Source organism: Homo sapiens, chromosome 1, assembly GCF_000001405.40.
Source record: "Homo sapiens chromosome 1, GRCh38.p14 Primary Assembly".
NCBI lineage: Eukaryota > Metazoa > Chordata > Mammalia > Primates > Hominidae > Homo > Homo sapiens.
In genome coordinates this window covers 86,876,984-86,891,311 of record NC_000001.11, presented here as the reverse complement: position 1 = coordinate 86,891,311, position 14,328 = coordinate 86,876,984, and the positions used below count along the sequence as shown (strand labels likewise).

The 14,328-nt window shown below is 36.0% G+C and overlaps 1 protein-coding gene across 4 annotated transcripts in view; it reads left to right on the top strand.

The window, feature by feature from the left end:
- SELENOF (selenoprotein F) overlaps nt 1-14,328 on the top strand; it is a 52,133-nt gene that overhangs the window by 23,266 nt on the left and 14,539 nt on the right. For all 4 annotated transcript variants that reach the window (NR_144513.1, NR_144512.1, NM_203341.3 and 1 more), the window contains exon 3: nt 10,587-10,650. Coding sequence is in view for 2 of the 4 variants with exons in the window: in NM_203341.3 (NP_976086.1) it covers nt 10,587-10,650 (64 nt within the window). In the remaining 2 variants the exon portion in view is untranslated. The remainder of the gene's footprint in view (nt 1-10,586; nt 10,651-14,328) is intronic.

Sequence of the window (14,328 nt, the reverse complement as noted above, 5' to 3'; positions counted from 1 at the left end):
TTTGGGAGGCTGAGGTAGGCAGATCACCTGAGGTCGGGAGTTTGAGACCAGCCTGACCAACATGGAGAAACCCCATCTCTACTAAAAATACAAAATTAGCCAGGCGTGGTGGCACATGCCTGTAACCTCAGCTACTCGGGAGGCTGAAGCAGGAGAATCGCTTGAACCCAGGGGGTAGAGGTTGCAGTGAGCTGAGATCTTGCCATTGCACTCCAGCCTGGGCAACAAGAATGAAACTCCATCTAAAAAAAAAAAAAAGAAAAAATAGGCATGGAAGCTGGACTGCCAGAATACTGTTGATATGATATTCTGTTTGTTGGACGAAAACATAATATCTAATGTTACGAAGGTAACCACTAAAAGAATTAAATTAAATAAAAGTTGGAAGGAAAGGGGAACTAAGAGCTCTTAAAGCTGGTATCTCATGAGCTATAGATACAACCATATTAATCTTTATGGAAGTGACCAACAGAACTAAAAACAGTTTAAATATTAATGCGTAGGCCAGGCATGATGGCTCACGCCTGTAATCCCATCCAACACTTTGGAAGACGAAGGCGAGAGGATCACTTGAGGCCAGGAGTTTGAGACCAGCCTGGGCAAAATGGCAAGACCAAGACCTCCATCTCTACAAAAAATTAAAAAAAAAAAAAAAGCTGGGTGTGATGACACACACCTGTGGTCCTAGCTATTTGGGAGGCTGAGGCTACCGGAGGATCACTCGAGCCTAGGAGGTCGAGGCTACAGTGATCCATGGTCACACCACTTCACTCCAGCTTGGGTAACAGAGCGAGCTCTGTCTCCAAATTAAAAAAGAAAAAAAGAGTTATTAAGTAGAGGGTAGAAGGTAGAGGAAATGTTTACTTCTTATTTTATAACCCTTTTATACTTTTTTTATTATGTCCACATGCATTGATTTTTTTAAAAGAATTCAATGAGATATGTGCTATAAACAAAACATACATGTATGCAATGAAAGCTCTTAGAAGGAGGGCATAACCACTTGGCAGGTCAGGTAAATATCACCACTTGCTTATGTAGGAGTTAATGCTTATAGTAAGTAGGCAAATGGTTGAGAGAAGGCCTTTTCTCTCGCAAAAGGAAAAGTTAGTGGAAAGGCACAGAGGCATGAGAGTATGGCCATCTAAGATAAATCAGATAGCTGGGTTATGATGAGAGAAGATGATGATTAGGTAAGCAGGGGCCAAATAATAGAGGGCCTTATATACCTTCATAAGAAGTTGAACTTTATTCTGTATGCAGGGGACAAAATTAAAGGATTATAAAGAGTAAACTGGTATCAGATTTGTATTTTAATAACTTTTGTTGGTGTGAACAATAGTTGATAAGGCGGAGGGGAATACTTATGCCAGAAAAATAGTTTGCCGTTTTCCAGAGGCAAGATACAAGGGCTTAAACCAACACATTGGCTGTGAAAATGAAAAAGGACAGATTTGAAATCAATTTAGGCAATAAATTTATTTATTTGGATTTATTAGACTGAATTGGAGAGAAAAGGGGTAAGTGGGGATGCTTCCCAGTGTTCTTGCTGGAGAAACTGGTAACCCTAACACAGGAGAGAGACCAGCTAGTTACAAGATGGCCCATTAAGGCAATAATGGATGGGAGAAGGGGCAGCAACAGAATAACTTTTAATAAAGCATACCCCTTAGCTGTAAATAGTTTTTTTGTTGTTGTTGTTTTGTTTGTTTGTTTTTGAGATGGAGTCTTGCTCTGTCGCCCAGACTGGAGTGCAGTGACGCGATCTCAGCTCACTACTACCTCCACCTCCTAGGTTCAAGTGATTCTCCTGTCTCAGCCTCCCCAGTGGCTGGGATTACAGGCATGTGCCACCACACCCAGCTGATTTTCATATTTTTAGTAGAAACAGGGTTTCACCATCTTGGCCAGGCTTGTCTTGAACTCCTGACCTCATGATCCACCCAGCTCCGCCTCCCAAAATGCTGGGATTACAGACCTGAGCCACCGCGCCCAGCCAACAGTTTTATTTTTGAAGAAAAATTTATTTTGAAGAAAACCTTTTTTCTTCAAAAAAGTTTTAATTTAAAAGGCCATGAATTTTATTTGGCTGCCATAATGAATTCTAAAATAGTATATTGACAGAGTAAAGCAAAAATTTTAAATGTGTGGAATGGCCTCGTTTCTTTTTTTTCTAGTTTTATATTGCTGCTCTTAAATTTTGTATAATATTGAAACTCTTGGATTATTATAGCTTTATTTTTGTATCTTTTTAAAGTTCAAATGTATTAGGTGATTACTATCTATAGGGAGATACCACAATTTAATTTGTTTTAGTAGCTTTGTTTCTTATTGTTTTCAGATATTTATAATCTTTCTTAAAGATGATCATAACTGGCCAGGCACGCCTGTAATCCTAGCACTTTGGGAGGCCAAGGCGGGTGGATCACCTGAGGTCAGGATTTCAAGACTAGCCTGGCCAACATGGCAAAAATACAAAAATTAGCCAGGCGTGGTGGCGCACGCCTGTAATCCCAGCTACTTGGGAGGCTAAGGAAGGAGAATCGCTTGAACCTGGGAGGTGGGGGTTGCAGTGAGCCGAGATCGCACCACTGCACTCTAGCTTGCGCAATGGGAGCGAGACTCCGTCTCAAAAAAATATATATATGTTGATCATAACTATTCTTTTTATGACAAATAGTGGTTGTTCAGTATTGGAGGGATAATATCAGCAGTGATGCAAAGAAATTATTTCTTCTGCCAGGGCACGGTGGCTCACACCTGTAATCCTAACACTTCGGGAGAACAAGGCAGGAAGATCACTTTGTCCAGGAGTTTGAGACCAACCTGGGCAACATAGCAAGACCCCATCTCTACAAAAATTTTTAAAAAAAAGATTTCTTCTGAAAGGCATCCTTGCTTCCATATATTATTAGGACCTTCATTTTCAGTTTTCCATTTTCTAAAATACTTTTAGTATTACCAAGGGGCTAGTTGGTTTCATTTAAAAACACTTACTATGGTATTCAAGCTTTGAGTCTGTTTTGGTTTTGTTGTTTTTTTTTTTTTTGAGATGGAGTCTCACTCTGTTGCCCAGGCTGGAGGAATGTAGTGGGGTGATCTCAGCTCACTGCAACCTCCACCTCCCAGGTCCAAGTGATTCTCCCACCTCAGCCTGCCCAGTAGCTGGGATTACAGGCACCCGCCATCATGCCTGGCTAATTTTTGTATTTTTATGGAGACAGGGTTTCACCATGTTGGCCAGGCTGGTCTGGAACTCCTGACCTCAGGTGATCAGCCCACCTCGGCCTCCCAAAGTGCTGGGATTACAAGTGTGAGCCACCGCGCCTGGCCGCTTTGAGTCATTTTTACCAATTCTTTGGATATTGGATCTCAGAAAATATAGTGGTCACATTCTCACTTCCTCAAGTTACTTTTTTTTTCATCATGTGATATTTCCTAAGTATTGGCAGAACTGAATGCACTGTTCCCAAGTGATGACCCTGGATCATTCATACTTGTAGCTAAAGTATACATAGGGGTGGGGACTGGGGATGTATTTTTTTTCCTAATGAGAGTCTCATCATTACAGTCTTACCCCTTATTTTAGGTGTATATGTAAATTCTATAGGTGTATATAGAACTCCTGTTTGTCATCACAGTATTGAAAGAAACCTAATCCTTTTTTCTTTCAGGTTTCATAGTTAGAATGGTCTAACCTAGAATGCACTGATATCATTTTCATTTTTAGGGGTTTTTTTGTATATTTTCATTGAGCTTTTTAGTTCAACATTGTATCTTTATGGAAAGATTCCTCCAATGTATTCTTAGCATCTGTAGAGCCTAGTTTAAATCAAGGTAGATGTTACTTGCTTGTTTTATAACTTTTCTTCTCAGTTTCAAGGCAGAAACTAAAGATACAAAAAGGAATAACACTTTAATGGTATAGTAAAATAAGTTTTAAACTTAGTGAGTTTCCTTAGGCATAAACTCATTGCTTTGTATTTTTTCAGAATTTAGTAAAAAGCACTCCAAGATGAGTAGTAATTTAATCTCAGATATAGTATTGGAGAATTATATTTGCCAGCTTTGTTTGTTAAAATTATAACGCTGATTTTTTTTCCCCTAATCCTCAGTATTCATCCATTGTTTCTAAGCAAGAATGCCATCACTCAAAGTGAGTATGAAAGTGTCATTAATCAGAAAGTATGGGGAAGACTTGAAGATGAACAGCAAATTTAAAACACCAGTAGATCACTAAACATGGTTTAGGTGATAATATTTTCCCTGAGAATTCGCTGACCAAATTTTGCTAAAAATAGTTTCTGTGTGATGTATTTTTCTGCTGTATGAAAGGAATAAAGTTGATTTTTTAAAATTATACTGGATATTATTAGTGTTTGGAAAAGTGACTCATTTATATTTGAGTGTATCATAATTGATTTTTCATTGGAATATCTAAATAATACAGTGCTCAGCTTTTATCATACTATAGCCATGCTTCCTTATTTTAAAATCCCTTCATTTTATTTAAAGGCAAACCTTCAATAGACCTATAAAATACAGTTATTCCTCAGATATGAATTCTCTTCAGCAGTAAAAATTTTTGCTTTTGTTCACCTAACAGCATTTTCTTCATATTGCTACATAGCATTTATAATTATTATGCTAATGGTTATATTAACTTGGTTTGAAAAACTTCTTTTAATATAAACAAAACTAGCACTTTAGGAGGATAAAAACCAAGTTTAATTACAGGTTTTAAAATATCTTAGTTTTTTTCTGTTGGTACTGTGGAATTGCTTTAATACTAACCTTTCGATTTTAAATAAAATAGTTTCCAAAATGAGAATCTATAGCTACAAGCAGTACCTCATAAGGAAAGGGAAAAAAAAAAAAGTACTGTAACATTTGTCTTGCTTCAGTCGATGTTTATGGTTTACCTTTTCAGATTAATGCAGTTAATCTGTTGAACAAAGAGCCTACTGTTTTACCATTTTGCAATTTTTGCCCTATTAATATAACATAGTATAAGGCAGTATTCCTCATCCCTGCCTGCCCATTACAATCATTTGAGTAGTAATTAAAAATACTGATGCATGGATCTCACCCCTAGATATCCTAATTTAGTTTATCTGGGGTAGGTTTTAGGGATCAGTAATGTTCAAAATATTTCCAGGTGATTCTAGTGTACTGTCAGGGTTGAGAACTCCGCTCTAAGGTAGTTTGAATTTGAAAGCTTGAGAAAATTTGGAGTGGCCATTTTCATTACAGACGAACAATGAGTAATATCCCTGAATAGTCCCTGAACTGAAAATTCTATTAAGTAGACATGATAATGGCCTCACGTACACAACTTGAACTTAACCAATACTGTGGAAGTATTAATCTTATAATAAAAGATGTTATATATTGAGCATCTAAAAAATCCAGGCTTTTCACTTTTTTTGGTGACTTCTTATAGCAATTCTGGAAGTAAATAACCCTTTTGTTGAGACAGTAAACTGAAGCTCAGTGAATGACTTACCCAAGGGGGCATACTGCTTGTAAGTGGCAGAGCCAGAACTGGACCACATACAACTTTGATTTGACAGCTTGGACTCTTTTCACTATACCATGCCGTATGAAAATTTGATATTTAGTTTGACTCAACTTAAATAATTAGTTTATCAAGGTTTTCTTAAGGTCATGTTTCTTTAGAGCCGTGGTTATTGTTACCAACAAAAATACTTTAAGTGCTTCGTATTGGAAAGTAGAGTATTTCTGACTTGGACAGGTTTATAAATGTGTAATGGTGCTGGTGGTGGTGGTAGTGGTATGATGATGGCACAAGAGTTAACAAATACTGCACTTTTTAAAAAATTCAGAAAATGTGTGTAATTCTCAAGTGTCACCTTTGTTCAGTGTTATAAATGAACTTATTTTGGAATCTAGCTATCTGGTGAGAAACAGCATAGACCAGCTTTTTGAACATTTTTGTGGCAACTAGTTGGACCTTAATTATAACAAAGATAGCTACAAAAATAGTGTGGCCTTTTTCTACATGTGAAACCTCACTTAACCCCTTACTAATCTCAGTACAGTTTGAGTAGCTGTTATCTGGAATTATTGGGACTAGAAGTGTTTTGGATTTCAGATTTTTTTCAGATTTGAGATGCTCAACCTGTAGTACCTGTAGTAGTTAAAATATTTAAACTGGGAAAACATCAACTAACCACAAAGCTGGAATTTATCCGAAGACTAATGAATAAAAATCACCTTTTTAAATGGGAAATTCGCATATTTTAAAATCCTGTTACAACTAAGGCACATTAGTGATAGAGCTGAGGTAGTTAGATATTTCTACTTCCCCCACCCAGAGAACCATATCAGAAGTTTAGAAAAATCTGACGGTCATAAGTTACATGGAAATAGAGACTCCAAAGGGAAAAGATGCAGTTTGTGTATCGTTCTCATATTTTCCTAATGATTTCTTACATTTCCCTAGTCCTAATACAATAATGGGCTAGAGTTAGATTGTCTGTACAAGTAAGACTCCTCTAATTCGTATTTTTAAAAAGGCCTACCAACTTGCTGTTAGAAGTTATATGACTTTCTTCTTTGATTTTTCTCTTGTAATGGTATTTTTCCCTAAATGTTTGAAGATTAAAAATTTTGTATGCTAGTCACTTTAAAAAGTAAAAATACTGAGGTTGGAACTTGGTTAAATCAGGGAATTAACTTTATTTGTCATTTCTTTATGCACTAGAGAATTTCTACTATTTATAAGTAGCATATATTTCATTGTGTGTGAATTTGTATGTAGTGCCAAAGATACTTAGGATTATATGGCATTTTAAATTTACTACAATCTGTAGTTAAGTTATTTATTCGCCATGAAAAACAAATATTTTCCAGTGAACACCACAAATCATATATATATATGTGTGTGCGTGTATATATATGTGTGTGTATATGTGTGTGTGTGTGTGTGTGTGTGTGTGTGTATGTATGTGCGCCCGCTAACAACACAGATTAATGCTTTTAGAGTTTGACTTTTAATAATGCTCTGCAACTTTGAGTTCCATCCATTTTCTTTTGTTTACCCTGGACTGGAACTACTCTACAAACTTTGTCAAAGGAACTTGAAATATTTTTGAAGTTTTGTCATGAAAAAAGAGGCATTTAATTTTGTTATATGAATAGTTCTCTCCCTTCGGCACACCTATATTGAGAAGCTTTGTGTCTGATTCTGGGGGAAATTAAGACATTTCCTGTCTGCTGTCAAGTTACAGGCTATTTGATGCACATTATGATGAGAACAAAGTTCTGTGAAAGTTTACTAGGAAAATCCTTACCTGAGACGAGGAAATCAACAAAAGTTTTTTTGAAAAAGGTCACATCTGAGCTGCCTGCTCATTAAAGGATATGTTTCTAATATTTTTGGTTAATCAGTTGATATTTTGTGGTGCAGAGACAAGCTTCCCATGAGTGGGTTATGGGTGTGGTAAGATACTGAGTCCTTGAGCCCTTGAGACAACCAAGTGGGGCCTGAGGTAAGCAGGGCTCCCAGGCTAGTCTTGCCCATTTAAAAGCTGCTTCATCCTTTTACTGCAGTGCTCCGTACAATCATTATCATTTCCCACATGTATCATGATATAAAGAAACAGTGGTATAGAGAAATATTATTAGGTAAGGTAGTGGAATCTCCACCAAGAGTTTCTAAAGGCTTATAAACAAAAGATAAATCTAATAACCAAATCTAAATATGGCCTTATATGCTTTTAATTATAGTAAAATGTACACTATTCACTATTTTAACTATACACTATGTATGTACACTATACACTATTTAGTGTACGTACACTATACACTAGTGTACATACACTATACACTATTTAGTGTAAAATATACACTAAAATTCACTATTTTAACCATTTTTAAGTGTAGAGTGCTATGGCATTAAGTACATTCGCATTGTTGTACAACTGTGTTAACCATCTTTCTCCGGAGTCTTCCCAAACTGAAACTTACACCCATGAAACAATAACTCCCTATTCCTTGCCCCCACTGACAACTACCATTGTGAATTTTTGGCTACTCTAGTTACCTCATTTAAACATTTGTCCTTTTGTGACTGCCTTATTTCACTTAGCAAGATGTCATTAATGTTGTAATAAGATTCGTTTATATTGTAATATGTGTCCGAATTTTTTTTTTTTTTTTTTGAGACAAGTCTCGCTCTTGTCCCCCAGGTTTGAGTGCAGTAGCTTTATCTCAGCTCACTGCAACCTCTGCTTCCTGGGTTCAAACAATTCTCCTGCCTCTGCCTCCCAAGCAGCTGGGATTAAGGCGCCTGCCACCACACCCAGCCAATTTTTGTATTTTTTAGTAGAGACAGGGTTTCACCATGTTGGCCAGGCTGGTCTCGAACTCCTGACCTCAGATGATCCGCCCACCTCGGCGTCCCAAAGTGCTGGAATTACAGGCGTGAGCCACTGCACCCAGTCAGAATCTGCTTCCTTTTAAAAGCTGGATAATGCTCTGTTGTATGTATATACCATATTTTGTTTTTCCATTCATCTGTTAATGAACACATGAGTTTTTTCCCACCTTTTGGCTATTGTGAATAATGTTGCTGTGAACATGGGTGTATAAATATCTGTTTGAGGCCTTGCTTTCACTTCTTTTGAGTATATACCCAGAAGTAGAATTGCAGATCATATGGTAATTCTATTTTTAATTTTTTGCAAAACTGCAATTCCATTTTCTGTAGCCACTGGACCACTTCTCATTCCCAACAGCAGTGTACAAGGGTTCCAATTTCTCCACATCCTCATCTCTTTTTTTTTTTTTTTTAATAATAGCTATCCCAGTGATGTGAAGTGGGATCTCATTGTGGTTTTGATATGCATTTCCCTAATCTCTAGTAATATTGACCATCCCTTCATTAGCTTATTGGTAATATGGCCTTATATTTTTCAAGATTTTTTTTCTGGAGTTGTCTAACCAAGATTAGCCATATCTTTTTGAAAAGCAACTTATTGCATAAAATTAAGTTAACCTATTCTTTCTTTCTTTCTTTTTTTTTTTTTTTTTTTTTTTTGAGACAGAGTCTTGCTCTGCTGCCAGGCTGGAGTGCAGTGGCGTGATCTCGGCTCACTGCAACCTTCGGCTCACTGCAACCTCCGCCTCCTGGGTTCAAGCAATTCTTCTGCCTCAGCCCCACGAGTAGCTGGGATTACAGGCATGCGCCACCACGCCCAGCTAATTTTTGTATTTTTAGTAGTGACGGGGTTTCACCATGTTGGCCAGGATGGTCTCTATCTCTTGACCTCGTGATCCGCCCACCTCAGCCTCCCTAAGAGCGGCAATTACAGGCATGAGCCACCATGCCTGGCCAAATTAACCTATTCTTAAAGTTTTATTGCTGCAGTGACCCTTAGAGATCATCAGAATTCTTAATCTGAAATCCATCATTGGTTTCAGAGTCCATGAACAGCCTGCATTAAAGCGAAATTCTATCAGATTCTCAGAAGGGTCAGTGACTCCCCAAAAACGTAAGAATTGATCCAGCCCAAAGTCATCAAACTGTTAAGAATCATTGTCTTTTTAGGTCACATTAAGGTAGTTTTTTAATCACTACTTTATGCCTTTCTGTATTTTCCAAACTATTTTAAATAAACATGCATAGGGCATGTGTTGTTGTTGTTGTTGTTGTTTTTAATTAAGTAAATGCTGTTTTAGAACCTGAAAAAATAAAGTCCATCTTTCTTGAACCTCCATAAAAAACAAATCTAAAAACCAAGAAGAAATGAAATGGATATGATACGTTCTTAAAATTGCCAGCCTTCTCTTATGGTCACAGCATTTCCAAGTATATTCCTGCCCTATAAAAAGAATAGTCAGGCTCTGCAACTACAAAAAAAGTGGTGTTTACCATTGAATCCATTTCAGCTGAATTCATTGCAATAAAATATTTGCATTTGAGTTTTTTATAATGAGCTTTTACTATAAAGAGAATGTGCAGGTTCTATAGCTAGAAAAGAGATACTTACCATTGAATCCATTTCAGCTAAATTTCATTAAAGGAAAATATTTGCATTTGAGTTCTTTATAATGAGATTTTACTGCTTTTCTTATAATATCTCCACATAGTACTTTCTATAACGATTGTTTTAATTTTAAAACTTTGATCACTTAATATTAAAAGCCACCAGAAAGAATTTTTATTAAGTAACTATCTTGGATAGATGATATATACCTATATTCAGTTTATCACCCTAAAAAAAAGGTAGGAAACCTTTAATATTTTGTAGCGCTTCCTAGGACATCTTACCTATTTAAAGTTTATTGTCAAATCTCCTTATCTCCTTCGGTCTTTTTGGCTAGGTTTAAGAATAATTGAAGTAGGTTGGAAGTTTCTCTACCATTTATTATACTTGGGCCTCCATCTTCTCTTCCATTAGACTGGAACTACATGGTCCTGTCTGGCTAACCAGCTTTGACATTTCTTTGATCTATATATCTGCTAACTGTAATGTTTATACTGTGAAAATTTATATTTATTTTATAAGTACATTTTTAATTTATACCAGTTTTTTAAATTCCTGTTTTTCCTTTTGTAGCTGTATGCAGGAGCTATTCTTGAAGTTTGTGGATGAAAATTGGGAAGGTTCCCTCAAGTCCAAGGTATATAAAATTTACTCCAGTAAACTGTTCAGTCATTTAAAATCAACATTTTATGTGAATCGTTTTCACTATATATTCCCAGGAATAAGAATTTTTAGGATTATACTTTCTTAACAATATATGCTTTTTTTTCAATTTGTTTTCATGGAAGTGGTTTGTTAAAGTAATTGGTGAATGCTATGTTACTTTAAAAAAAACACAATATATGAAATTTAGAGGCCAGGCGTGGTGGGTCACACTCAGCTCATGCCTGTAATCCCAGCACTTTGGGAGGCCAAGGTGGGTGGATCACGAGGTCAGGAGTTCGAGACCAGCCTGGCCAAGATGGTGAAACCCCATCTCTACTAAAAATACAAAAATTAGCTGGGCGCGGTGGCGGGTGCCTATAATCCCAGCTACTCGGGAGGCGGAGGCGGGAGAATCACTTGAACCCGGGAGGCAGAGGTTGCAGTGAGCCGAGATCACGCCACTGCACTCCAGCCTGGGCGACAGAACGAGACTCTGTCTCAAAAAAAAAAAAAAGAAATTCAGATTTAAAATACAACACATGAAGGGGTTATTTTCTTAAAAGAAGAGCCTTTCCTTTGCCGGGTGGGAATTTTGCAGGAGCCTTTCCAAGATGTAAGTGTAATTTCTTTAAGTAGCACACCGCTGTAGTTTATTTTAAATGTGAATTGATTTATGTGGAACAATTGCATTAAGAGTAGACCTGTACAAAATAACAAATCACCAAGGAAAGAAGTAATTGCCAAAGAATTTGAAATACAAAAGAGAGAAAGTCATATGTATATATCTTCACAGGGAATTTTGGGTAAACATGTTAAAGGATAATTGTGAAGGTATATTCTTTGGGTTGACATCCAATAGTAATGAGGAGCTTTGCATTGCCAAGAAAGGCTTGAACTAAGGCTTTTGTCTTGCATGTCACTTTGAAAATCAGTTTTATGAAACTGAACTTGTCTGAAGGTAATAACGCTTTCTCTCTTTTTTTTAACTGAAATACATAAGTATTCAATTTACATACCTCATTCTACCTCGATTTTTGCTGACATTCCCGTGATTTCTTGCCTTATTTAGTTAATGGCAAGAGAATTTTTTGGATTTAATATTTTATAACATTGCCTGTATTAGCACATGCTTTTTATTGCTGACCTAGAATTGTTTATAATAAAATATTGATCATTTGGCACAGAAATGTAATATAGTAGTTTGACTTGGGATACTTAATGAGGCCCAAAGCAGATACATATCTAATCAAAAACAGTCTTTGTTAGAATAACACATTCTGATGTAGCAAAGAAGATATTTACTTTTGCTTGGGAAAAAAATTTCTTACTCTGATTTATTTATTTATTTATTTTGCCTCAAACACTTAAACTCAGAATTGTACCACAGTTGTTTTGGCTTTTTTATATCCATTCTCTGAATGATAGTGTGAGCATTCTTATTTCTAGAAAGTTTTAGCAATTGATTTTTAGCTGCATTGATTATTTATACTTACTTGTTTTATTAAAAACAACATTTTATAACTTAGATTTTCATGAGAATCAAGAGTAGCTTAGATACTGTGATTGGCCTTCCTAGTTATGATATCAGATTTTATTATCTACCGTAATATATATTTCTTATGTAAATTATCAAACCTTGGGTATATATATCATACTGTCTTTTCCTTTTGAAAACAATTGAATTTTAATGCTTTGTGTAAATATTTAATTATCTACTTGCTTAAAATAAAAATTATTAATTCCATAATGTGTAACTGTATTTAATATTGTTATGTATAATACCAGTATTTTCTGAGCCCGTGAAAAGTTGTTATAATTGTGATAAAACCATTATTAAATTCCCACCCTCAGAATTTCCATCTTAAAGATATTCTGAAATAGAACATGGAGAGTTGTTGATTTATACAGTAATTACAAATACCAAACTAACTTTCATGTCTTCACTGCTTCATATTCTTTTCTCTCTTTTTTTTTGAGACAGAGTCTCACTGTCGCCCACACTGGAGTGCAGTGGCGCAATTTCAGCTCACCGCAACCTCTGCCTCCCAGGTTCAAGTGATTCTCCTGCCTCAGTCTCCTGAGTAGCTGGGACTACAGGCGCACGCCACCACACCCAGCTAATTTATTTTTATTTTTAGTAGAGGCGGGGTTTTGCCATGTTGGCCAGGCTGGTCTCGAACTCCTGACATCAGGTGATCCGCCTGCCTTGGCCTCCCAATGCTGGGATTACAGGCATGAGCCACCACACCCAGCCACTGCTTCATATTCTTTATCTTCAACATCAAGTAGCTTCTGGGATTATCATGATAACCTACATTATACTCTAGCTTATAATACATTGTCAGTTTTTAAGGTCACTTAATTTAAATTAACCATTTCATGAAACAAGAGTAAATTAATGTTAAATTATTTCAGGAGGAAGGATTTAAATTTTGGTATGTTTTACCTATATTAAACCACTCACAGTTGTGTAAAAAAAAATCTCAGATCATATTTCTTAGTCAATTCCAAATATGCCTTCTAAAATACCTTTTTTTCCTTATTCTAGTTGTTTAAATATAGAAGGCTGTCTATAATAATTTCTCATAGTAGATTTTGTCTAGTATTCTGTCACTTCACTTGTGACATCCTAAGTAATCATGTTTTTTTTCTCTCGCTTGAGTCTTCTGTGTTAAGAATGTGGCTGTCTCTCAGAAAGTAATGTGGTTTGTCCCTAATTTTGTATGGGCTTGGCAAACTTTCTATAAAGGACTAGATAGTAAAAGTTTTCAGCTTTATAGGCACCATGGGCTCTGTCATAACTATCGAACTCTGCTATTATAGCATGGAAGCAGCCATAGACAGTTCTTAAACGAATGCACGTCACTGTGTTCCTGTAGAACTTTATTAAAAAAAGCAAGCAGGACAGATTTGGCCCGTGGGCCTCCGTTTGGCAACCTCTGTATTAGAATCATAAACGTTCAGACGCAAAAAGGAGTTTTGAAATAATGTAGTACAAATTGAGCATCCTCATAATTCAAAAATCTTAAATCTAGAATGCTCCGAAGTCTGAAACTTTAAAAATACTGCATAAAATTACCTTCAGGCTTTATGTATAAGGTATATATGAAACATAAGTGAATTTCAGGTTTATATTTGGGTCCTATCCCCAAGATATGTCATTCTATGTATGCAAGTATTTCCAAATCCAAAAAATAAAACATTTATGGTCCCATGCATTTCAGTTAAGGATACTCAACCTGCTGCTCATGCCAACTATGATTGATTGGTAGACATGCTTAAGGTTACAGTGCTTCATTGGAGTTTTGTTGGAAAGAATACTGATCCATTAGCATTATCTTCATTGATTTTCTTGTTTATAAAATGGGTTACAGATGAGGTATAATAGGTTAAATATCTACCTTATAGGGCTGTTCTGAGGATTAATGAGATAACATGTAAGTCACTTAGTATGTGTCTGGCACCACCAAAAACAGAGTAAATCATTCCATAATTCTATAAATATTTATTGATGCTTACTGTATGACAATCACTATTCCAGTAATGAAGATGTTAAATGGTAAGTATTGTTATTGTATCTTATATTTGCTCCTTGGTTAATAATAAGTTTCAATTATGAACCATCAAACATTTATATACTCATATATTGGCCATCTTTAAAAAACATTCA